General features: G+C 37.8%; 1 protein-coding gene across 8 annotated transcripts in view; it reads right to left on the reverse strand.

The window, feature by feature from the left end:
- The window catches only part of CPNE4 (copine 4), a 506,038-nt gene that overhangs the window by 344,635 nt on the left and 133,962 nt on the right, over positions 1-27,441 (reverse strand). For 6 of the 8 annotated variants that reach the window (NM_153429.2, NM_001289112.2, NM_130808.3 and 3 more), the window contains one exon: positions 27,061-27,241. The exons of the other annotated variants lie outside the window; for them this stretch is intronic. In NM_153429.2, the coding sequence (NP_702907.1) occupies positions 27,061-27,241 (181 nt within the window). The remainder of the gene's footprint in view (positions 1-27,060; positions 27,242-27,441) is intronic. 8 annotated transcript variants of the gene reach the window in all.

The following is a 27,441-nucleotide window of genomic DNA, read 5'->3' on the forward strand; positions in this document are numbered from 1 at the left end:
AACTGGAAGCAACCCCTATGTTCATCAGCAGTAGGATAGATAAATCAATTGTGGTATTAGCCATACAATGGAACAGCATACAGCAATGATAATGAACGAATGACTACATGCAATGCCATGAATCTCGCAAATATAGTGTTAGATGAAAGAAGCCAGACACTAAAGAGCACATGCGGTATGATATATATTTGCATAAAAGTCAAAGATAATAAAAAATAATCTGCATTGATAGGAGTCAGAAGAGTGGTTACTCCTGGCACAGAATGAGGGGCAGTAAACAGAAGAGGCAAAAGAGGAATTTTGGAAGCGCTGTTGATGTTCTGTTTCTTAATCTGGATGCTGGTTTTACAGGTGTGTTCATTTTCTGGAAATTTATTTAGCTATACAGTTAGGATTTATAAAATAAAAATAATTAATCTGAAAAATTTATCAGAGGACATTCCTCCAAAGAAAGACTTGGGCAAAATCTCATGCTGATTAGATGATTCAAATAACAAGAAGACATTCTTAACCCGTTTGCTATAAGGAAATAAGATATTCCATTAAGAATAGATATGCTACAACTAGATGGGGTATGCGCTTATCTCTATATACAGACCTTCCAAACAATCAAATACAGCAAGAAGGAACCTCATTCACTCATGCAATGAAATATTTAGTGCCAATCAGGTGCCAGGCCTTGTTCTAGGTTCTGGAGATTCAATGACAAAGGTCTCACCCTCATGACACTTACCTTGCCCTACCCTTAGTATTTGAATAAATAACTTCTAAGAAATTGATTTGTTTAGTTTGGAACATTCCATTGAAAGTACAACTGACGCTGTCTCCTATTGCATTGATATCGTGCGTCTGTTTCATTTGGTAAGCCTACTAACTTAACTATTAGTGAACTGAATCTAAAAGTGCATAAGGGTGTGTGTGTGTGCGTGCTAGAAAGAGACATACTCAGAGTGTTTGTTAGTTTGTCAGTGAGTAAAAATCACATGGAGTGTATGAGATTGTCTAAGAGACAAAACTGTGATTAAAGTGAATGAAATGAGCATGGAACTCTATGGGAGATATATGAATAAGGATATACATAACAAGGCTGAAATCATGCAACTAATGTAAGTGTGTTTCCATTAATGACTTTTTCCCTAAGCTTCTCTATCCTTCCCCAAAATCTCAACACGTAAAAGAAGCCAGCTGATTTATTCGACATTAACATACTCTATCTTCTATGATAAATTAATGGGAAAATGCTGGCACATAAGCAATCTAATTCAGGTTTAAGGCTGTATCAGGGTTATTCTTTATTCAAAGGATTAAACCCTCAGAAACTGTCCCCCACCCCTCCTGAAACATCCCTTCCTCTCCCCACTGAGTGCTATTGAACACCATCTGTGCTAAAAAGTTTCCATAATTCAAAGCCCATCGGCCCCCTATGATGACTACAGACTCCCCTTCTCAAAAGGTCTTTTAAAAATAGAAGAGATATTATCTTCTGGGTGTATGGCTTAGGCAGAGCTCTAGCCAAGAAGATGATGACCCCTTTATAAGGTCCTACTAAGAACCATTTGTCATTAGAATTTTCAAGCTTTGGAGATTGGGAATTGGATTCCCCTGTTGAGGTCAGACCTTTGCACACAGCATAATTTTCCCTTTCTAGACAGTGTTATTCTCTACCTTATATACCTGGCAGACTCATTACCAAAGATCTACTTCAAGTAATATCTTCTCTATAAAAATTTCCTGGGCTCCTCTTCCCAATGTAAAGTTGAATATGCTTTCCCCTGAATCCCCTACCCAAACCTTTAAAAAAACATTGATTCATACATCTCTGTGTCCCTTTTAGAATAGGAGCTTCATGAGGACAGGGATCATAACTGTTCATTCTCATATCTCATGACAAAGACGGTCCATGGCATATAGTATATATATATATACATATTTTTTTTTTTTGAGACGGAGTTTTACTCTGTTGCCCAGGCTGCAGTGCAGTGGCTCACTGCAAGCTCCGCCTCCCGGGTTCACGCCATTCTCCTGCCTCACCCTCCAAAGTAGCTGGGACTACAGGCGCCCACGACCACGCCCGGCTAATTTTTTGTGTTTTTAGTAGAGACGGGTTTTCACCATGTTAGCCAGGATGATCTCGATCTCCTGAGCTCGTGATACGCCCGCCCGACCTCCCAAAGTGCTGGGATTACAGGCGTGAGCCACCACCCCCGGCGGCATATGGTAGATATTTAACAACTATTTATTGAATGAATGTCAGTGACCAGGTGATGCTATCAAAATTGAAAATGATGACTTTCCCCAAATCACAATGAAGTGGGAGCTGAAGTGAAGCCATCCAACTGCCTTTTTAAAGATGAGGTACATTCTCCTGGCCAGATCCCTTGTGAAAACTCATGCCCTGTCTGAGACTCAGAGGGCTTCTTTAAAAGCTTTCTGTAGGAGAGATGAGCAGAGACTTGAATGTATTCAAAAGAGCTCCTGGGAATTTTACCTCTAACTCTGATCAGGGAGATAAAGAAAAAGTAGAAGGCAGATTTGGGGTTAAATTGAAGAGAAAAATAAACTTATGGAATGCATGTACATTGCAAACATTAAGTACCATTCTTTAGATAAGAGAGCTGAGAAATAGGTTGCTTTGAACACAAGATGCGTTATAATAGATTTTTCTTTGCTTAGCCAACAAGTTGGCCCATTGTTAGGAAGATGTTTTTGAAGTATAACAGCTTAATTTCTAGGTTGCACTCTAAGAAAAAAGTAGCCTCTGCCATCTGGGAGCTGACTTAGTGCTATCAGCCTGGCCTTGTACTGCTTGAAATTGGCCCGGTACTCACAGCTGAGCTTTAGTGTTTTCTGTGAAACAAAGAAAATGTTCACAGAACATCAACATAAGGCAAGGACACTCCATCCCCATGATGAAGAAAGACAAAAACCAGACTGTTCCACAATCATGCTGGAGCCAGACAAAAACCTGAACGCTGTCCAAAACACAACAATAACCAAACATCTCCCTATCCTGGTTAAAATGAGTGATTGCTGCTTCTTTACCAATTATACCTTTAGCTTTAGCCTTGGCCTATTCTCCCCTTCTTCTAGATAAGATTTATTAAGGTACTCAATCATAGAATTGTCCTGGCCTCTCAACAACTTCTAATCCAGAATAAAGCTGTCCTTTGTTAAACCTTCCCTAAACCACTAACTCAAATTCTGTAAGTTCTTTCCTAAACTCTTTGACTAAGATATTTCACAGTTCCCCATGAGGTGTATTCTCCCCGTGGTAGTGAGCAATAAACCCAACTTGTTCAATTATAGGTGTGTTCTTGGTGGTCTTTGGCTGGAAGGTATTGACAATTCTCTAATATTATTATTCACTAAACTACAATCTGGCTTCTCCAGGATGCCAGAGTTTAACATTAAGGTATTAAACTCTTTTGCTTAAACTCCACAAGTCTGTCGTATTATTATATTTTGTTGTTATTCTATACCACCTCAGTTAAATAAAATATTTCAGAAATCTCCAGAGAAAATGGCAGAATGAATCGTTTTTAAGAACTGAGAAAAAGGGAAAAAACAATTGGAGCTTCTATTTCCTTACTCCCCTTACGTAAGAGAGGGAAACAGCCTTCCGCAGTTGTGGTGAAGTGGTCAAATTTATTCCATGAAAGCAATATATTTTCTAACATCCTTAACTCATCACCATAATTTCTACCAGTTCTCTGCACACAAAGATTTCTCCATGGAGCTGTCACAATATTTTTCTTCCTACTAAGAATACCAGAGTGCTTTTTCTTCTCAAGTTCTTCTTGTGTTGTATAATGTGACAGGTTATTAAATCAATTTCTCTTCCTCTCTTTAAATAAGGCACAGCACCAAGTACAGCGATCCTTCAGAATTAACACTGACAACCTAGAGATGCTTCAATTCATTCTTCAGTTCTAATACACACACACACACACACACACACAACCTACATCTCTCTCACAAACTCACACATACTGTATAATATGTTAATAAGTTATGGTTTAATTATATTAGTATTTTATATGTGTCATATTATATTATGTAAATAATTAATAAACTTCTTAACATAAAGATAATTTTGGAAGAAAGATACAAATGCAATTAGAATCATTTAAGTGAGCTCAACTCATGCCAAGCCAAGGAAGTGTTCATTGTATGACTGAGGCAAGAGTCATTGAGTCTAATATTAAACTATAAAGATTTAAAATATTGTTTAAAGAACTGCCTTATTTGCATTTCTTGTAGTAACACATTGGTATGATCGTTCCAGATAGGCAGTTGGGTAATTTGTAAAGCTTACCCAATATGAATATCCTTTAACCCAGCACTTCCTAACAATCATATTTCACTTAAATATATAAATGATAATATTGATGCCTAACAGCTATATAATGGTGTTAGACACTATTGTGCATTAAATTCTTATAGCAACTCTACAATGTAAGTACTTTTATTGTTCTCATTATTTATTAGCTTGGTACAAAAGTAATTGCAGTTCTGCTCTATTTTTTTTTTTTTTTTGAGACGGAGTCTCGCTCTGTTGCCCAGGCTGCAGTGGCACGATCTCAGCTCACTGCAAGCTCTGCCTCCCGAGTTCACACCATTCTCCTGCCTCAGCCTCCTGAGGAGCTGGGACTACAGGCACCCGCCACCACACCTGGCTAATTTTTTTGTATTTTTAATAGAGATGGGGTTTCACCATGTTAGCCAGGATGGTCTCGATCTCCTGACCTCATGATCCGTCTGACTCGGGCTCCCAAAGTGCTGGGATTACAGGCGTGAGCCACCATGCCAGGCCAGTTCTGCTCTACTTTCAATGGCAAAAACCACAATTATTTTTGCACCAACCTAAATAGATGAGAAAATGGAGGTAATTTACTTCTACAAGAACTTATAGCCTATAAATAATAGAGCTGGAACTCAAAGTATAGACAGTCTGTGACTGAAGTTACACTGTACCAGTACTCCATATTGTCTCTCAACATTGGAAGCATGTTCATGGTAGAATTATTGATGCAACCTCAATCTGGAAACAACCTGCCCCTCCCCCAGTGTTACCCATCATCATTCACCCAATTGCTCATCCCTCTGGAATGATTCTTGACTCCTCATTTTCTCTCATACCTTACTTTCAATTCATTAGCAAAGTCTATGGGGTGTGCTTTTACAATTCAGCTCATTTTCAACCACTGTTATCTTCTCCATGGCTATTACCTGATCCAAACTACCAGTGCTTTCACCTGGACAAATGCAGTAGCCTCCTGAGTCATCTCCAACATGCACTTTTGTCTCTCCACACGATCTATCACAAGCAGTTGTACTTTCATCCTCCAATGGCCTCCCATTACATATGGAATAAAACCCCAAACACTTACCATTGCCTAAAAAGCCCTACATAATTTGAACCATAGCTGCCTCTATGAGATCATTTTCTCTCACTCTTGCTTTCTTATACCAGTGCCTCATAACTTCCCTGCCTCCTTGCTGCCCTTCTTTATTATTGTGGTAAGAACACTTGAGATCTACCCTCTTCACAAAATTGTAAATGCACAATACAGTATTGTTAACTGTAGGCATGATGTTGCACAGAAGATCTCTACAACTTTTTCATCTTGCATAACTGAAACTTTATTCCTTAAATAGGCTAAGCACATGCCCGTGTCATGGCCTTTGCCCTTTATTCTGTTGGAATACTCTGTCCTTATATACAAATGGCTCACTGCTTACTCATTCAGATTTCTGTGCAGATATTCCTCAGATAAGTTTTTCTTGGTCATAATTTTTAAACAAGCCCCCCTATCATTCACTACCCCATTTCCTGCTTTATTTTTGTTTCACTTACCATTGTTTACCAATGTGTTACACATTTATTGTGTATTTTCTATTCTACCCACTAGCACAAAAGCTGGGACCATGTATTGTTCCCTTCTGTATCCTCAGCCCTTAGAAAAGTGCCTGGTAAATAATAGGAATTCAATAAATGTTTACTGAATGAGTTAAAGAATGAATCACTTATGTGTGCACCACTATGGACTGGTAGGTAAATCACGGTTCATCTACAGGATGAACTGCTTCTGGCCATTGAATTGCAGGAAATATTTATTAGAGTTGTAAAATGTAATTGGGAAAATCTCAAGTAGTAGATGGAGAGTGGACAAGGAAATGACCAAATGTCAGAGATGGAGATGCTTGTTTAGAAGTAGGTGTCTCCCACAGCAATGGGTACACTAGTCTCTAGGAAGGGGGCAGAACTAGGCATGGTGGGCACCAGCAGGAGAGGACTCATAGTGTGACCACAGGATCTGAAATCTGAAGTCAGAGTGTTTCAGAGAGCAGGTTCCGCTCATATTGACTATATGATCTTGGAAACTGATATGGTTTGGCTCTGTGTCCCCACCCAAATCTCATCTTGAATGGTACTCCCATAATTCCCACGTGTTGTGGGAGGGACCTGGTGGGAGATAAATGAATCATGGGGGCAGTTTCCTCCATACTGTTCTCACGGTGGTGAACATGTCTCACAAGATCTGATGGTTTTATCAGGGGTTTCCGCTTTTGCATATTCCTTTCCTCTCTTTGCCTGCTGCTATCCATGTAAGATGTGACTTGTTCCTCCTTGCCTTCTCCCACAATTTTGAGGCTTCCCTAGCCACATGGAACTGTAAGTCCAATTAAATCTCTCTCTTTTGTAAATTGCCCAGTCTCTGGTATGTCTTTATCAGCAGTGTGAAAGTGAAATAATATAGTAAATTTGTACCAAGAGTGGAGTGTTGCTGAAAAGATACCCAAAAATATGGAAGCAACTTTGGAACTGGGTAACAGGCAGAGGTTGGAACAATTTGGAGTGCTCAGAAGAAGACAGGAAAATGTGGGAAAGTTTAGAACTTTCTAGAGACTTGTTGAATGGCTTTGACAAAAATGCTGATAGTGATAGGAACAATAAGGTCCAGGCTGAGGTGGTCTCAAATGGAGATGAGGAACTTGTTGGGAACTGGAACAAAAGTGACTCCTGTTATGTTTTAGCAAAAAGACTGGTGGCATTTTGCCCTTGTCCTAAAGATTTGTGGAACTTTGAACTTGAGATAGATGATTTAGGGTATCTGGTGGGAGAAATTTCTTTTTTTTTTTTTCTGTTGAATATTAAGATTTATTTTAAGGTTATAAAAATTAAGATAGTATAGTATTATAGTAATAATAGGTTAATAGATGCAGACCCATGCAAGTATTATTTGATTTATGACAAATACAGCACCTGTTGCAGTGGGCAAAGGATGGTGTTTTTTGTTTTTTGTTTTTCATATTTTAAATTTTTTTTAATTTTTTTATTTTTTTATTATTATACTTTAAGTTTTAGGGTACATGTGCACATTGTGCAGGTTAGTTACATACGTATACATTTGCCATGCTGGTGTGCTGCACCCACTAACTCGTCATCTAGCATTAGGTATATCTCCCAATGCTATCCCTCCTGCTCCCCCCACCCCACAACAGTCCCCACAGTGTGATGTTCCCCTTCCTGTGTCCATGTGATCTCATTGTTCAATTCCTACCTATGAGTGAGAATATGCGGTGTTTGGTTTTTTGTTCTTGCGATAGTTTACTGAGAATGATGATTTCCAATTTCATTTCTAAGCAGCAAAGCATTCAAAAGGTGACGTAGGTGCTATTAATTCAGTTTTAAAAGGGAAACAGAGCATAAAAGTTTGAAAAATTTGCAACCTGACAATGCAATAGAAAAGAAAATCCCATTTTTTGAAGAGAAATTCAAGCCAGCTGCAGAAATTTGCATAAGTAACAAGGAGCCAAATGTTAATCCCCAAGACAGTGGCAAAAATGTCTCCAGGACATGTCAGAGATCTTCACAGCAGCCCCTCCCATCACCAGCCTGAAGGCCTAGGAGGAAGAAGTGGTTTCATGGGCTGGGCCCAGGGTCCCCAAGCTGAGCCGTGTGCAGCCTAGGGACTTCGTGCCCTGTGTCCCAGCTGCTCCAGCCGTGGCTGAAAGGGGCCAATGTGGAGCTTGGAATTCAAATATAGACAGTCTGTGGTGCAAGCCCCAAGCCTTGGCAGCTTCCACGTGGTGTTGAGCCTGCAGGTACACAGAAGTCAAGAAATGAGGTTTGGGAACCTCTGCCTATATTTTAGAAGATGTACGGAAACACCTGGATGCCCAGGCAGAAGTTTGCAGCAGGGGTGGGGCTATCATGGGGAACCTTTGCTAGGGCAATGTAGAAGAGAAATGTGGGGTCATAGCCCCCACACAGAGTCCCTACTGGGGCATCGCCAGAGGAGCTGTGAGAAGAGGGCCACTGTCCTCCAGACCCCAGAATGGTAGATCTACTGACAGTGCACTGTGCACCTGGAAAAGCCACAGACACTCAGTGCCAGCCTGTGAAAGCAGCTGGGAGGGAGGCTGTACCCTGCAAAACCACAGGGGTGGAGCTGCCCAAGACCATGGGAACCCACCTCTTCCATCAGTGTGACCTGGATGTAACATGGAGTCAAAACAGATCATTTTGGAGCTTTAAGATGTGACTGCCCTGCTGGATTTTGGACTTACATGAGCCCTGTAGCCCCTTTGTTTTGGCCAATTTCTCCCACTTGAAACAACTGTATTTACCCAATGTTTGTACCCCCATCATATTTGGAATAACTAGCTTACTTTTGATTTTACAGGCTCATAGACAGAAGGGACATGCCTTGTCTCCAGTGAGACTTTGGACTACGGACTTTTAGTTAATGCTGAAATGAGTTAAGACTTTGGGGGACTGTCGGGAAGGCAGGATTGGTTTTGAAATGTGAGGACATGAGATTTGGCAGGGGCCAGGGGTGGAATGATATTGTTTGGCTCCGTGTCCCCACCCAAATCTCATCTTGAATTTTACTCTCATGATTCCCACATGTTGTGGGAGGGACCCAGTGGGAGATAATTAAATCATGGGGACAGTTTCCCCCATACTGTTCTCATGGTAGTGAATAAGTCTCACAAGATCTGATGGTTTTATCTAGGGTTTCTGCTTTTGCGTCTTCGTCATTCTCTCTTTGCCTGCCACCATCCATGTAAGATGTGACTTGCTCCTCCTTGCCTTCTGCCATGATTGTGAGGCTTCCCCAGCCACGTGGAACTGTAAGTCCAATTAAACCTCTTTCTTTTGTAAATTGCCCAGTCTCAGGTATGTCTTTATCAGCAGCATGAAAACAGACTAATACAGAAATATTATTATGACATCTCTGAATCTCAGTTCTCTCATCTGTAGAATGGCAATGAAAATACTGACCTCAGTAGGCTGTATTGTGAGGAATCAGTGAAAAAACAAATGTAGGAGGGCTATGAAGATACTAGCTGTTTTTATTTCTTCTTCTTCTCTATTATTTCCAGAGGTGGTAGACTTCACTTTGTATTTTCTTCTTGTTGTACTTTTTCAGGCCATGCATTTCCTAAGTTTAATGTTCAGGGTAGAAAGTCCTTCCTTTTCAAGCCCTACATTTGCATCTTTCAAGCTTCTGAGAAAACTCCCTCAATAAGAATTGGAATGTAAATATGCCTATGTTCCTCTTATCCACATCCTTTAAACTAATTATAGAACCTATGACAATAAGATGGGCTCCTTAGTTAACTAATGTTTCCAGGTATAGTCCATGGTTTAACTATGTGGCAAAAAGTTGACACTCTTCTTATTAAGAAGGAGGGTCTATGTCCTTACCCTGAGAGATTGCCATGTAGGTAAGTTCACTTGTAGGTGCTCCAACTGGAAGTCCTAGCCTAACACTTGGGTGAAGATGCCTTCACACGATCTGAAACTCTGGCCAATAAATTATCCCCAGCCTTCTGGTCCTCTCAGCTGAGGTCCTAGACATTGTGGAACTGGAATAAGTAATCCACTGTGTTCTGCCTAAAATCCTGAAGCACAGAATCCATGAGCTTAATAAAATGGTTGCTTCAATTCAACCTATTACATTTCAGGGTAATTGTCACATAACAGTAGTAATTGGAAGAAACTAGATTAAGCAAATCTTCAATTGAGGTAGGCTAAAATATGCTCCCCAATTACAAATCCTAGTTTCTCCAGAATTCAGTTTGAAAAGACCAACATTGATCAAAGTAGGGGAAAAGGTAACAAAATTTTGTTCCTTTGATACACAGTTTCAAGACCATAATCTTTCAACAGGAACTAGTCTTTGGGTTAAAAAAAAAAAGTCTCTAGGACTAACTACTCCGACGAAAAGGAGCTCTTGAAATATAGTATTTGAAAACAGACTATCCAAGATAGGGAGTTGAACATTTCTGATCTTAAATCAAGATAAAATATTTAATTAGCCTATAAACTGACCCCAAGAACATCTGGAGTTTCCAGAAGGGAAGAATTTTCTTGTTACTTCTCTTCTAAAACTGACAAACAGTGGGGGACAACGTTGGCACAGAAGCAAAGATGGGAAGGGAAGGTTATCAGTATGGCTTCTCTGAGATTTCGAGTCCGTAGATTAGAGAACACAGACAAGTGGAATGAAGTTGCTCCAAGTCTATTTATCTTCTTCAAAATGCAGAGAGTGGAGGGGATAAGGAGACTTAGATAATTTCCCACTAGGAAAGTCGAAACAGATCAATCAAAGTGCTTAGTAAGAAACTTGGCAGACACTTAGAGAATTGTTAAATTTTCTTACTAAAATTTCTCTATTTTACAAAGATAAATGGACCCAAGAATACTTGGGTTGGCCAGCAGACCAAAAGCTTATCTCTGGCATTAAACATACCTCGACATAAGTATTATCTGATAATGTCTTTTACATACTGAGAACTAAGTGATCCACTACTCACATTAGTTTTACATGCATTATCTCCCTTTAATATAAAAGTATTGAATATCTATTAAGTGTTCACTATGCACCAGCTACTATATTAAGTAATTCATAAGCATCATCTCAATAGATCCTTATAATAAACCCATGGAATAAGTTCTATTGTTGTTACCTTCATTTTACTAATGATCAAATGCAGGCATAGGGAAGTTGAGACATTTACAAAAGGTCACATGGATAAGCCAAGCAGTGTGATTCCAGGGCTTATAGCATCAGCCCCTTCATTATCCTGTTAGCCAATTATTTAATCTTGACAACCATTCAGAGATGCAGTAATATAAAAGGCTCAGAGATGTTAAGTGGCTTTCCCAAGGTCACACAGTTAACCTGTGGTGAATCCCTGCCTTGTTTCCAAACTGACCTCAGATCAAGCCAGGCTGCTACAACAGCCTCCTAAGTCATTTAGCAAACTAATTTCAGGTTGAATGAAAGCCTGGTGGATCACACTACAAATAGTTAAGTTTCATTCTGAGATAAACCAGCCAAGAGTTTATTTTTCTTCTTATGCCACTTTCTGAATTTCAAATATTTTTTAGTAATGAAACCATATTTCCCCCTTCACAGAACCCCAAAATGTTTAATAGTTTTGAGTGGTATTTTAGTATAACTTGAAAGTTCTGTCATTTACTGTAATGTCAACCAATGGCAACACAATCTGAGAATTAGTGGCATCTTCACTTTAAAGGCATCTGTGCCTTTAAGTGTATGTGTTGTCACATTTACAGTTAGCTGATCTTCGATAAGGGTGCCAAGGACACACAATGGAGAAGGATAGTCTCTTCAATAAATGGTATTGGGAAAGCCAGATGTCCATGTGCAAAAGAATGAAATTGAGCTTTTATCTCACACCATAACAAAATCAACTAATAATGGATTAAAGACTTAAACATAAGACCTGAAACTGAAAAATTACTACAAGAAAATATAGAAAAAAATTATCAAAATTGATTTGTGCAATGTTTTTTAATATGACACCAAAAGCACAGGCACCAAAAGCAAACATAGACAAGTGAGATAGTGTCAAACCAAAAAGTTTATGCGCGACACAGAAAACAGTTAATAGACTGAAAAGGGAATCTATGATATGTGATAAAATATTTGTAAATCATATATCTAAAAAGAATTAATTTCTAAAATATATAATAAACTCATAAAACACAATAGTAAAAACACAAATAACCTGATTTTTTAAATGGGCAAAGGACCTGAATAGGCTTTTCTCCAAAGAAGACATAAAAATGGCCAACAGGTATATAAAAACGTGCTTAACATCACTCATCAGCAAGGAAATAAAAATTAAAATCACAATGAGATATCACCTCACTCCTGTAAGCATAGGCATTATTATTTTTTTTTTAGAAAAAAAAAACCTACCATTAGTGAGATTGTGGAGAAATTAGAACCCTTATACACTGTTGGTGGGAATATAAAACGCTGCAGCCATTATGGAAAACAGTATGGCGGTTCCTCAAAAAATTAAAAAGAAAACTACATCTTATTAATCAATCCCACTTTGGGGGTATATATTCAAAAGAACTGAAATCAGGCTCTTGAAGAAATACCTGTATTCTCATGTTCATTGCAACATTATTCACAATAGCCAAAATATGGAAACAATCCAAATGTTTATCAACAGATGAATAAGCAAAGAAAGTGTTGTATAAACATACAATGAAATATTACCTAGCATTGAAAAATAAGAAACATCTATTATTTGCATCTGGAAGACATTATGGAACAGAAAGATATGATGCTAAGTGAAATAAGCCAGTCACAGGACAAACACTGCATGATTCCTCTTATAAGAGACATCTAAAATAATCAGAAATACAGAAGTTGACAAAAGAATGATGGATACCCAGGGATGAGGAGGGGGCATACAGGAAGTTGTTGTTTAATAATTGCAAAATTACAGTAATTCCCAGAGATGTGCTGTACCACATAGTGCCTATAGTTAATAATAAGGTATTGTGTACTTAAATATTTATTAAGAGGACAGATCTCATGTTAAGGGTTCTTAGCAGAAAAACAAACAAACAAAAACCCAAAGAGACACAAGGAAACTTCTGAAGATGATGGATATATATATATTTTTTATCTGGATTGTGGTGATACCAGTATGAGTGCCCACACATATCCAAACTTGCCAAATTGTATACATTAATTTTATGAAGTTTTTTTTATAACAATTACACCTGAATAAAGCTGGAGAGAAATAAAATTTAGGTATGTGGGTTGTTTTCTGTTACATATTTTAAATATTAAAATATATTTTAGAAAATATTCTATAATTGGGATAGTGGTTGCACAGGTGTATACATTAATCAAAACTCATCAAGCTACGAGTTTTTTTTTTAAACTTTTGAGTTCAGGGGTACACATGCAGGTTTGTTACACAGGTAAACTTGTGTCATAGGGATTTGTTGTATGGATTATTTCATCACCCAGGTATTAAGCCTAGTACCCATTAGTTATTTTTCCTTATCCTCTCCCTCCTCCCACCTTTCACCCTCCAATAGCCCCCAGTGTATGTTGTTCCCTGCTATGTGTACATGTGTTCTCATTATTTAGCTCCCACCTGTAAGTGAGAACAGGTGGTATTTGGTTTCCTGTTCTGGTGTTAGTCTGCTAAGGATAATAGTCTCCAGCTTTATCCACGCTTCTGCAAAGGACATAACCTTATTCTTTTTATGGCTGCATCGTATTTCATAGTGTATATGTACCACATTTTCTTTATCCAGTCTATCATCAATGGGCATTTGATTACATGGCTTAAGCAAGACTGATGGCTGACTAGAATTACCTGGTGCTCATCTCACCTCCACAAAAAGAGACAAAAACAACCAATAAACAACTACTTTTCAACTAGAATAACTGAAGAAGTACACTGAAGGGCACCATGGGAATGGCAAAAAATCTCTGTGGAGTATGAAAGCCCAGGATAGGACCGTAGAGAGGGAGGCAAAGAGTCTCACCTCTGCCACACTGTCTCTCCTGCCAAGATTAGCTCAGAGTTCACGGGACTCCATCTTACAAGAAAAAAGGTAAGCTGGAGATCCCCAAACAGTCCCCACTGCCCCTATAAAAATCCTTGCTATAGGAGAGATTCTGAATCCTCACAGTTCCCAAATTCAGTTTGCAGAGTATCCAATATTTGCATAGCTGCATTGCCACCAATGTGGAAGCCAGCTTAACTACCTCTTACCCTCATGATCTAAGCTGCTACAGCTCGGTGCCACCTTGAAACCAGACCCAGAAATGCTATTCTTCAGAAATGAAGGGGAAATACAGACCTTTCCAGACAAGCAAATGTTGAGGGAATTCATCACCAGTAGACCAGCCTTACAAGAAATGCTTAAGGGCATGCTACAGCTAGAAATAAAAGAACAATAAGTACTATCATGAAAACACATGCAAGTATAAAACTCACCAGCAGAGGTCAATTTATAAATTAAACTCAGAATACCCCAGTGATATAATGGTGCTATATAAATCTCTTAATCCTCTACTATAAAGGTTTAAAGTCAAAATAGTCAAAAACAACAAAAGCTACATTTAGTGACTAAGGAACACATAATGGATTTTTTTAAAGGTAAATTAAGGCAACAAAAATATAAATGGAGGGCAGAGAAAAAAGTCTAGAGTATCTTTAGGCAACCAAACTTAAGTTGTGATCAGCTTAAAATCGTCTATTTTAACTACAAGACTCTTTGTATTAGCCCCATGGTAACTACAAAGAAAGAAATTACAGCAGATAAACAAATGAGAAAGAGAATGGAAATATAGCTTAGCACCACAGAAAACCAACAAACCAGATGAAACAATGACAGAGAAAGGAAGGAAGAAAGAATTTTAAAAAAATCAGAAAACAACTAAAAATAGTGGAAGTAACCCTTTATCCATTATTAACAACCTTGAATATAAATAGATTAAATTCTCCACTTAAAATGTATAGAGTGGCTGAATAGGTTAAAAGACAAAAAACAAGACCCAGCTACATGCTGCCTATAAGAGACTCACCTCATTTTTAAAGGCAAACATAGACTAAAAATGAAGGGATGAAAAAAGATATTCCATGCAGACAGAGACAAAAAGTGTGTAGCCATACTTATATCAGATAAAGTAGACTTTAAGTAGAAAACTGTAAAAAGAGACAAAGAAGAGCGTTATAATAAAGGAATCAATTCAACAAAGAATATAACAATTGTAAATATATAGGCACTCAATGCCAGAGCACCCAGATATATAAAGTAAATATTATTAGACCTAAAAGGAGAGGTAGTCAGCAATACAGTAATCGTAGGAGGCTTCAACACCCAACTTTCAATAATGTACAGGTCATCGAGACAAACAATTTGACAGATAAATATCAGACTTCTACTGCACAATAGACCAAATGGACCTAACAGACATTTGCAGAACATTTCATCCAATAGCTGAAGAATACACTTTATTCTCAAATTCACATGGAATGTTCTCCAGGATATATCACATGTTAGGCCATAAAACAAGCCTTAAGCATATAAAGATCACATCAAGTATCCTTTCTGATCACAATGTTATAAAACTAGAAACCAACAAGAAAAGCTTCAGAAACTGTACAAATACATGGAAATTAAACAGCACGCTCTTAAACAACCAATGGGTCAATGAAGAAATTAAAAAGGAAATTAAAATTTTTATTGGGATACATAAAAAAATGGAAATGCATCATACCAAAACCTGTGGAATGCAGCAAAATCAGTTCTAAAAGGGTCATTTATGGTAAGAAACATCAAAAAGGAAGAAAGATTTCCGATAAACAACCTAATAGTGCACCTCAAGAAACTTAGAGAAACAAGAACAAACTAAAGGCAAAATTGATAGAAGAAAAGAAATAATAAAGCTCAGAGCAGAAATAAACAATATATAGACTACAAAAAAAAGATTCAAAAGATCAGTGAAATGAAGTCACTTTTTTAAAAAGATAAAATTGACAAAACCTTTAGATAGTCTAAACTGTTATTAACAACCACACGACAACAAATTTGATAACATAGAAGAAATACATAAATTCCTGGACACATACAACCTACCTAGATTAAATTATGAAGAAACAGAAAATCTGAACAGACCAATAACAAGTGAAAAAATTGAGTGAGTAATAAAAAGACATTTATCAAAGAAAAGCTCAGGACCTGATGGCCTTACTGCTGAATCCTACCAAACATTTAAGAAGAATTAATACCAATTCTCCTCAAACTAGTCCAGAAAATTGACCTCAAAAGCACAAGAGAAAAAAGCAAATATATACAAATGGGATTACACCAAACTAAAAAGCTTTTGCACAGCAAAGGAAACTTTTAACAGAGTAAAGAGACAACTTACAGAATGGGGTAAAATATTTGCAAACCAGACACCTAACAAAGGGTTAATATTCATTCAGAATATATAAGGAACTTAACATTAAAAAAAATAACGTGATTTAAAAATGAACAAAGACTTAAATAGACATTTCTCAAAAGAAGACATACATATGATGAACCAGCAAATTTTTAAAATGTTCAATATTACTAATTATCAGGAAAATGTAAATGAAAACCACAATGAGATACCTCACCCAGTTAAAATGGCTATTATCAAGAAGACAAAGGAAAATAAGTGTTGGCAAGGATGTAAAGAAGAGGCAGCACTTACACGCTATTGGAGGGACTGTAAACTAGTACAGCCACTATGAAAAATAGTATGAAGTTTCTCAAAAAATTAAAAATAGAACTATTATATTATCCAGCAATCCCACTACCAAGCATATATCCAAAGAAAATGAAATCAGTATGTTGAAGAGATATCTGCACTCCCATGTTTACTGCAGTATTATTTATAATAGCCAAGATATTCAGTCAACCTAAATGTCCAACAACGAATGAATGGATAAGATAGTGTGATATATTTGCACAACAGAATACTATCTAGCCATAGAAAGGAGTGAAATCTTGTTATTTGCATCAACATGGATGAACCTGGAGAACTTCATATTAAGTGAAATAAGCCAGGCACAGAAAGACACTGTCTAATCTTACTTATATGTAGAATCTTTTTTTAAGAAAGTTGGTATCATAGAAGCAGAGAGTAGAACAGTGGATACCAGAGGCTGAGAAGGGGAGGAGAGAGGAGTGGATGAGATGTTGGTCAATGGGTACAAAGTTGCAGTTAGAAGGAATACCTTCTGGTGTTTTAATGCACAGTAGAGTGAAAATGGTTAACAGTAAAATGCTGTTTTTTACAAAATAACTAGAGGAGAGGCTTTTGAAAATTCTAACCACAAAATAAATGATAAATGCATGAGATGAAGCATATACTACTCTGACTGGATAATTATATAAAACATGAAATTGTCCCCCATCAATATATACAGTTACAATGTGTCAATTAAAAGTAATTTCTTAAAAATAACCATTCTACAAAATAATTTTACATTAATTTTTCATCTTGATCCTGAGTTAATTTTATTTTTTTTGTTTTTCATAAACTGAATATGAAAATTTATACTAACAAACTAAACTACAAGTTAATCCATTTGAAAAGAAAAACCTCATCAAGCTGAACATCTAAAATGAATGCATTTTGATATATTTTATATGTAAATCATCTCACTAAAGTTGATAAAAAGGAAGAAATTGTATTTATATTTCAAACAAATAATTGCAGTACCTCTGAAGTAATTAGGCTACCTCAGGACACAATTTGGAAACCTTGAAATTCAAGCTAACATTTGGTGAATCAGATTGGAGAAGCTGAGAACTGTTTGTGTCCCAAGGTTCAAATAAACAATGAAAAACTTCAATCCTCCTTCCAGGAATTTCAATGGCTAAAAAACTTATCTAATCCCCGGCCAGGGGATCACGCCTATAATCCCAGTGGAGGCCAAGGTGGGCGGATCACTTTAAGAATGTTCCTACTCTTTATCATGATAATTTTACTTCTAGGAAAAAAAAAAATCTCAAATACAGGGTGATTGGGGCCAGATGTCCCTTATATATAAGAAATTTATCCTGTAATTATTCATAATAGCAAAGCTTTGAAAATTCATATCCAATAATGGAAAGCTGGTTCAACCAACTGTGGTAGATTTTGTATGTGAAATATTATACAATCATTTAAAATGAGGTTTATGACTAATTTTGATAATATACATATATATACACATATATTCTTTATTATGAAATGATAAAAAGGGCAGCATACAAACTGTAGCTATTGTATGGGCTTCACTCCGATTACTATCATAGCATCACAACAAACACAAATCCTATGTTTAACAGATATTCTTTAAACCAATACTATTAAATGAAACCAAACTAATAGCACAAACCTGGGAGATTTAAGTAACACAAAAGATGAGAAATTGAAGTGCAAACAATGTACATCCCCTACAAACCACAAAGGTGAACTCTAATAGGGAAAATATGTATGTAAAGAGTAAAAAAAATAATTGCACAAGTATCAAATAGCAAAATCTTGTCTTGGCACAGTTTGCACAGAAAGTATCTGAGTTTTAATTGATCACAAACCACATGACCATTCTTAATGGAGTTATAGAAGGTATTAACAGAAGTGAAGAGTGCAGGTCCCTGATGTCATTGCTCCACTATCTTCTCCCTTGATGAAATCCTCCATTGTACTTGATACCTCCTGGTGCCACATTTTAAGAGGCATGGATGCCTTACCTTATTTCACCATCCTGAGATCAGGGACCATCAGCACCATGACCTTTATTTACCTTATGATCTTAGACATTAAGCATAATTTTTCTCTACAAAATGCTCAGGAATACTTGCTCTAAAATCCATGGCCAGAAAAATGAGTGTTTAATTTTGGGAATGATTAAGAGTTTGGTTTAAAGACAGGCTTAATAGAAGTAAATGCTGGATACAAAAGAAGGCAGATTCCTAACGGGCAGGAATATCAATACCACGTACTCCAGATTAACATGAAACACATGGTTTTAGATGAGGACATTGATGAAAGGAATAATTTGGATGCCTAGAACCAAAGGAGAGAAAAACATTAATTTTATAGACTAGTGGTAATTCGTTGGGTTATTCTGCCTCCACAGAGAACTGGATGAGAGAGGTGCAGTGTCATGAAGACAACATGGGTATTGGAGACACAAAGATCTGAGTTCAAATCCTAATCCCACTTCTCACTAGTCTCGTGACCTGAACATATACATTTCCTATGTGAATGTCAGTTTTCTCACCTGTAGAGTGGGTTATCACAGTCCCTATCTTATAATACTGTCATGAGGATTATATGAATATGCATGTAATGACTTAGCATATGGTGCATAGCAAACAGTCTGGTACTCATTATTCTGAGAGGAAGACAGTGAAGGATAGCAGGAGGACAGTTTTGAAGTCAGACAGTCTGGGTTCAATTTGTCATTGCTCCTTCACTTACCACTTGTGTGACCTGGGGCAAGTTACTTAACACCTCTGTGCCTCTACACTATATACAATTTTTTTTGTCTACTATACCTCAATAAAAATAGAAAAAAATAGGCTGGACACAGTGGCTCACACCTGTAATCCCAGCACTTTGGGAGGCCAAGGCAGGAGGATTGCTCAAGGCCAGGAGTTTGAGACCAGCTAAGCAATATATCAAGATCCCATCTCTATGAAAAATAAAATTAGCCAGGTGTGGTGGCATGTGCCTATAGTCCTAGCTAGTTGGGAGGTTGAGGTAGGAAGATTCTTTGATCCCAGGAATTTGAGACTGCAGTGAGCTATGATTGCACCACTGCACTCCAACCTGGGCAACAGAGAGAGAGACTCTGTCTCTTAAAGAAAAAAAAAGAGGATGGAAAAAATAAAATAAAATATAGATGAGCCCAATTTGCAAGATAGTTTTGATAATTAAATATGACAATATATATAAAGTGCTTAGGAGAGTACCTGATACATTGTTTAAGTACTCTCAATATATTTAAGGTATTATAAATAAATCATCATTGTCATTAATAAAGAGATAAAATAGATTGAAATTACAAAGGAAATATGACTTTTAAGGAGATAATTATCAATAGTGAGTCTAGTTAAACATGCAAATAGGCACTCAGGAAAAGTGTCAAAAATACCTCCTTTGAAATGTTGAAGGTGATTCAATCTAGAGGCAGAAGACTCCTAATTGTACATGCCCTCTCAAACTCTTTCTCCAATCTGTAATTCCATCTTTCAAATGACCAGCATGGGTCTCAAGGTACACTATAAAAACTGCTGGGGACCAATGCTCCACTTGAATGCCCAGAATGTGGCTTGCCAGTTCTTCAGCCTAAGGATGGGAGTAAGGCTAATGTCATGTTTTACTCTGTGCAGGAAGCCAGATGTTATTCCTCTGGCTGATGAAATTATCTTCAGGGCATACAAAAGAATTAATTAAGAGGCAACACAGATTTCAATTCAAATACTTTTTGCTCATCTGTAACCTGAATTTCCCTTCTTGTGTAATTCTGTTCTCAGACATTATGACACTGAAAATGTTGAGATTTTACTTATAAGGAATCCAATTAGTCACATATGCAATCCAGTAATCTTATTTTCCTGTATCTAAGTGCATCACTTAAAAGTTGAACATCATGGAACCATCAGCCTCTGGTCACAGGCACATGACCCCAGGCAACAAGGAGAAAATATTATCTGGCTGTAATATTTGATTTTGTTTTCTTTTATATTCAATACTCAGGGTAAGATTTCTAATATCACCAAGATCAGCTTTCTTTTTCTTTTTTGTTTTTTTAAAAAATTATTCTTATTAAGGATGTGTTAAGGGGGAGGTATAAAGCAACATCAAAGTTTTCCCAAATGGGAGTCTGATGCAAAATCACAGTGCAAACTTTGTGAACAAGTGAAGAAAACTGTCGTTTTTTTATCATCTGTCATGCTGGGTGTTACCCATCCAAACCTTGCAAGTCAACAAAGTGTGAACAGAAAATCTTTTGAGAAAGAAGCTTGTCTGTGATATCCAGAGGGAATGTTTTAATTGACTTAATTTTCATTTTCTAGCTCTCGTCTATGTCCACAACTGGGAAGTTAACAGTGTTCAGGGACCTAGTCAAGTGAGTGTGGGAGTGTAGTCTAAACTCAAACGCCTCCAGGGGCCACTTTTGTAGGGCAAGTGAGTGAAGCAGGCTGGCTAGCAGGAGGCACAAGCACGAACCTCGTATTTTGTTAAGGAGGGAAGATGCTAATTATCACCAGCTCATTGTTGCCATAGGATTAAAGACCCCACATTGCCAGATTTTCTGGTTGCTTGGAAGAAACCAGAAATCTGGAGTTTTATGAAAAATCTCATGATCTTTGAGTTACGGCAATTACTACAAAGCTTGTTAGAACACTGTGAAAACCAGACAAAATATGTCTGCAGACAACAGAAAGGCCACCAGATTCAAGTTTGCAACCTTTGAAAAAGCAGAAATAACATGGGCTTTGGAAGCAACCAGATTCCAGCTTTACTGTTTACTAATTGTATGACCCTGGGCGATGTATTAATTCTCAAGCCTTAGCTATCTTTTCTAGTTAGTAAAGCTTTTATTGCAGAGTAATTGTGAGGATAGAATATACGTAAATTAACTAATACATAACTGGCATCAACACAGATTGATGGCTACTTTAATTCATCACATAAATGTTAATATTGCTTGTCCCATTTTCATAAAAGTTCTAGGCTTTGGAGCAATGGAAAATTGAATATCTTAGGTATAGGTAAAATTGTTATTTTGAGTTTTATCCTCATGGTTTAATACATGAAAGGGTGCTGGCCCACTATTATCCCAAGCATGAGAGAAACCTGTTTTGTTGACTTCTTCCACAAGCCCTCTAGCCAAGAAAATTCCACAGCCCACTTCTCTGGGCAAGCTCAACAACATGGGCACACATTATCCCTTCTGTGCTGCTAACAGGGATGCTAGGTCATATGGTGACCAAACCCTACATCTGGGTAGGTGGAGTGGGGAGGGGGAAGAGAAAATGAAAAACAGTGGAGGGATCGGAATTAATCACCAGAATTATAAGGAGTTTAAACAACTCTACAGGAAAAAAAATCTAATAATCTCATCAAAAAATAGGTGAAAGATATGAATAGATACTTCTCAGAAGAAGACATACAAATGGCAAACAGGCATATGAAAAGGTGCTCAACATCACTGATCATCAGAAAAATGCAAATCAAAACTACAATGAGATATCATTTCATTCCAGTTAAAATGGCTTGTATCCAAAGACAGGCAATAACAAATGGTGGTGAGTATGTGGAGAAAAGGGAACCCTTGTACACTGTTGGTGGGGATGTAAATTAGTACAACCACCACTATGGCATGATTTATTTTAGGCCCCCTCCACATAAAGGTAACCTAGGCACCCTTGAGATGGTCTTCCTACCACACATTCAGGGAAAGAAAAAGATTTAAGTCAAGATTTCATGTAGTGTCCTCTTTCTCAAGGTCACACGACTGTCTGAGACCCCAGCTCTCTGTCTCTAAGATAGGGTGAGATTACTGGACACTGAGGTCTTTGAGGACACAAGCCATAGTGCTCAATACATGCTGGGGTTAAATAGCTGTGTTGCTTTTTCACAGAGCTATTATCAGCAGGAAATAACATAAGTGGATGGATATTGTGAATATAAAACACTATATGGATATATTATTACTACAAACAATAATCTTGTAGTAGAGTCCACTGATAATTGATGTGTTACATATAACCGCACAAATCGTCACTAACAATAATTACCAACAACTCACCAAAGCCCATGGTTCATCATAACATGCTTCCATATGGAATTGATCCAAAGGTAGGTAGTTTTCAGAATTACTTAGAGCTTCCAAGAAAGATCTCAATGATTGTGTATTAAAATTCAATGAAAAAATTGAATTAATGGTGATTGAAGCAACCACCTAGAAGTTTGGAGTATAATTTGGGTGTTCCCAATGAGAACAAGTACTCCTCCAATCATAGGGTCACTGCCAAGGGCCACACACTCACGAGCTTGATTCTACCCAGGCATGCCCAGGAATAGAGCATATGCTCCAGTGAACTGAATATAAGTCTTTAGTTCATAAGAGTCCTTGCCTTCTGACTGTCTAAGAAGTGTTTGTTTGTACCACTTGATTATGATGCTTAGTTCCAGGAGCTAGTGAACACATCAGGACTCACCAGAAAGCAGGAAGATATTATTTCCACTCCTCGATGGAAGATGGAAAGCATTCTAAATTATCATTACACTTAACTGTCACCATATATTGCCATCATTACATAGCCAGGAGTTGATGAAGAGGGATTTTTTTAAAGGATATGATCCTAAATTAGGAAAATGAAAGGGTATGAAATGAAACTCTCAGTTTGTAATGTATTTCAAAGTCAAGTTTTTTTTCTTCCCTCTTTTCTGTCAATAAAAATCATGGCCATTATTAAAGATTTACTGTAAGTTTTCACCTAATGAAAATATTTCCGGCCAGGCATGATGGCTCACACCTGTAATTCCAGCACTTTGGGAGGCTGAGGCAGGTTGGAGGACCCATCTGGTAGGAGTAGGAGAAATAGAGGAGTTGCAGGCAGGGCTGGAAATGTTGCCTAGAAGAGTCCTCCGACCATGATCCAGCTTCTGCTGGATGGCCCAGCTGTTTGGTTCTGGGACTACCATCTTCTCCTTTTGTCCCTGTCACCCAGAGGAGTGCTGGCTCCCTTAGAGGGTTGGGGAAAGGAGAGAACCCTTAATTTGAAACATTTGCCAGTGTCTGTGGTGTAAATACTCCCTGACTTGCAAAATTCCTGAATATTTAACAGTGTGCTCTCAGGAGACTATATAAGCTGACTCCAACACATGACTGCTCCAGCCCTAAGCAGAGTTCCTGTTGTTCATCCCTGGGTTTCTTCACAGCCCCTATTTAGGTTTTCAGTATTTGCAGCTTCTTTGTTACTAATTATCTAATTATTTCTCTTAGCCACCTGGCATGCACTTTGGTTTTATTATTATTATTATTATTATATCCTTACTGTATATTGTTAAGAGAGCAAAATTTGCTAAACTGCTTCTAGAAGTACCACAATATCAATGAACCATATGATTAAGCATGCTAGCAATTAAGCTGATATTAATGGTTATAGAGTGAGACTTTCTAGGTAAAGGAAGCCGTGAATCAATTTACACTGTGGCACAAGGTTCTTATCACTGTGCACGGGTGGCAAAGTTTGTGGTAGCTGTGTGCTATAGTTTAATAGGACGCTTTGGAAAAATTATTTGACAATATGTATCAAAAGCCTCAAAAGCTTCCTATTATTTGTCCCACCAGTTCTACTTAACAGAATCTATTGTAGGAACTCATCCAAAAAGAAGGGAAAATCCTCAAGCACAAAGATGTTTATTGCAGTATTACTTAAAATAGGGTATATCTGGAAGGAATTTCAAAGTGAAAAAATTGATGAATTTAAATCCAGTTGATGGGATATTATGCAGCTTTGAAATTACAATGATCAATATTGTAGCAATGTGAGGAAAAGCACATACTACTAAGCAATAAAATTAGGAAAGAAAATTTTACAAGCATGATAATAATCATATGAGAATATGCATGCCAGAAGAAAAAGACTAAAATAAATATGTACAAATAATAGTTGAATTATGTTAACGGGTTAGAAGTAGATGGATTTCTTGCCTGTAATTTCCAAGGAGTTACTTTTTTATAATGTAGGCATTCCATTTAGTTTTGTTAAATAAAAAATAATGAGACTAACAAAGTCAATGAGAATATTTAGAAGGGAAAAAAAAGATACTATGTATTAAGACACCCATGAATACTGTTTTATATTTACATTCTAAGCCTTCGATAGGCCTGAAGTTAAATTAAGATTCCCCAATCTGCCTATCAGCATTCATTTTCTGTGTATGTTGACTCCTCACCTAAATTTCACCTGCTCACTAACTGCTATCAAGCCTTTCTTTCAGAGAAGTGGCTGATATCACATATCTACATACAATTAAACATGCTGACTCTCGGGTCTTTTGAACCTTCTTTCTCCTATAGAGTGGAAGACTGTCTCTTAGAGGGACACCTTCCGGCTGCTTATAAACAGGTGAGCATAGTATTGAAGGCTTAAAGAATTTGGTCCAAGGGATCCAAAACAGGTCTATTTGTGCTCTGATCAGCATGGCTTCAAATCCCTTATTCTGAGTACTTTATTTTCTTAGAATAAGAACTGCTTCCTCTGCTACATCCTCTTCTCCTCCCTATTTCTCCATTCACATCAGCTAGATCTTTAAAAACAAGGCTTACTTAGACTAGGTACCTAGATGCAAAAAAGGAAAAAAAAAACAGACAAACTTAAAATCAGTCCTTATCCAATTTGTTTGGATTTTTAAATAAACAAAAAAAACCTAGCTGCGGAATTCAACCTAAAATATTGCCACACAAACCACCAAAGACTGATACCAGTGTCCAGCACAATTATAAAATAGCAATAAAGATCTCAGTTTCTGGAGCTCCAATGTATGGGTTTAAATATTAGCTTTTCCACTTACAAGCTGACTGCTCTTGGGAAAATCCTTAATCTTTTTGTCTTTCCATTTCCTTGCCTGTAAAATGGGGATAATATCTCATAGAATTTTTGAAAGAACTAAACTGGTAATTTAGTGCCAGACTAGTGCCTGGCACTTAAAAAGTACCCAGTAAAGTTTAGGTCATATTGTTTCAAGTTCTTGCTCCAAAAAATAAATATTTCATGATGTGTCCCCTTGTTCTTCCCCAGGTACCACCATTAGTCAGAGAAACATCTCGCCAAGTGTAGCACAGTTGATACAAAGAACCCCACTGTTTTTCCTAGAGCTTCTCTCCACTGGGTCCGTGATCAGTTAGAGTCTAGCAGGCACAAAAATGAATAAATCCTTCCCAGAATAAACTTTTTGTAAAAACCCAAGTCATCTCTTAACAACGTGGGGGCCCATCGCTCTTTGAAGAATGACTCACAGAAATGTCATTCCATTCACACCACTGCCAAAGGAGCAGCTGCCTTGCACAAGCACAGCAAACAGTGTGTGTTAGGAAACATTCCAAGTGGATATTTTACACATGAGTCTTGGGGGATGTCTGAATGTGGTTTTGCTACCTTCCAAAGCTGGTTAAAACTGCATGCTGGCCTTATGAGCTTGTAGGCCCCCAGCCCGTTCCTCCTATTTCTGCCATCCCCATCTCCTTACTTCTGAATCTACTCATGATTTCCACATGCAGGATTCATCTTTCTCCAGTCCTCAACCAACTCAGACTGAGGTAACCATCCCACTCAGCCCCATAAACCCATGCGGCTTAGAACGAGTCACTTCTTCAGTCCTGAAGACTGGGTTTAATTATCGTTGTTGGGTTCCCACGTGGCTCTCTTGGGTCCACAACAAGAGTTTATGTTTCTCTATAGATCTACGATTTGTCCTGGGTCAGCTCTGTCCAACAGTCACCCTGTTTTGGGCTTGGTCAGAGAACTGGACTTCAGTCTTTGTCCCTACTCCTCAGTTCTGGCCAGTTACCCTGGATAGTAAGTAGCCCAGCCCAGCTCCCAAAAGTGGAGTTTGCCCCTCTACTGCAGACAGAGATTTCATGGGACTGACTTGCTCATACCTGTCCTCTTGGTTCCCTCTTTCAATTCGGGACCTATGGATAGGACTGTCATCTACTGAGCTCATTCCATCTGAGTAGTCACTTCTCTCTCAACCCCCTAAAACCTGTTTCCTCAAAGCTACCATTCCCAAAATTCTTATTAAGTCTAATCTGAACTCTGCCTTGGCCACAAGACTTTGTCTCTGGAACCAGTTTTTGGAACTTTCTCACCCCGGCCCAGTCTGGGGTCTGGGTTCACGTCTGTTCCTGGTCCTCTTGCTACCTGTGTGTTGCCAATGAGTAGGCATGGGATGAAGAGTATATTGTGAGTATTTCTTGGTAATTAACAAAAACACCTAAAAAGTCTTAGGCTCATGAATTAAGGGTAAATGTCAAAATATCCACAACATCAAAACAGCAACATCAAAACATCATGATAGAAATGTGATCATATTCACTTCTCAAATTTCTTATTTCATCAAAATAAACCACCTGAAGATATAAAATATCAAAACATTTTTGAGCCAATCATCCAGCCATGGTTCTGTCCATTTCATTGGACATGCCTACCTCAAACCACTGCCCATGAGACTGCATCTTGAGGATGACACAGGGGTCTGGTTTGGAAAGGGCATCTCTGTCAGAAATGCCTTTGCACGCCACACGCAGCTCAACTTTGGTCAGGCAGGGGCTGTTAAAGATTCCCAGTGTGTTGGCAGCGGACTCATAAATGTTGCTCATCTTCTTCATTCTGTTTTAGGCAAGTAAAAGAATAAAAAAGAAGTGCCAATCACTGCAATATTTGTCAAAGGAGAAAGCCTCCCAATCACCCTTCAGAAAATTGTTTGACACACAGTTTCAAACATTGAAGGTATTTATCTCACTTTCCAACCCAGTGACACAGTTCCAGTGAAACAAATCAAAGGAAACAAACAAACAAAAAACAGGTGC

This window comes from Homo sapiens, chromosome 3 (genome assembly GCF_000001405.40).
Source record: "Homo sapiens chromosome 3, GRCh38.p14 Primary Assembly".
NCBI lineage: Eukaryota > Metazoa > Chordata > Mammalia > Primates > Hominidae > Homo > Homo sapiens.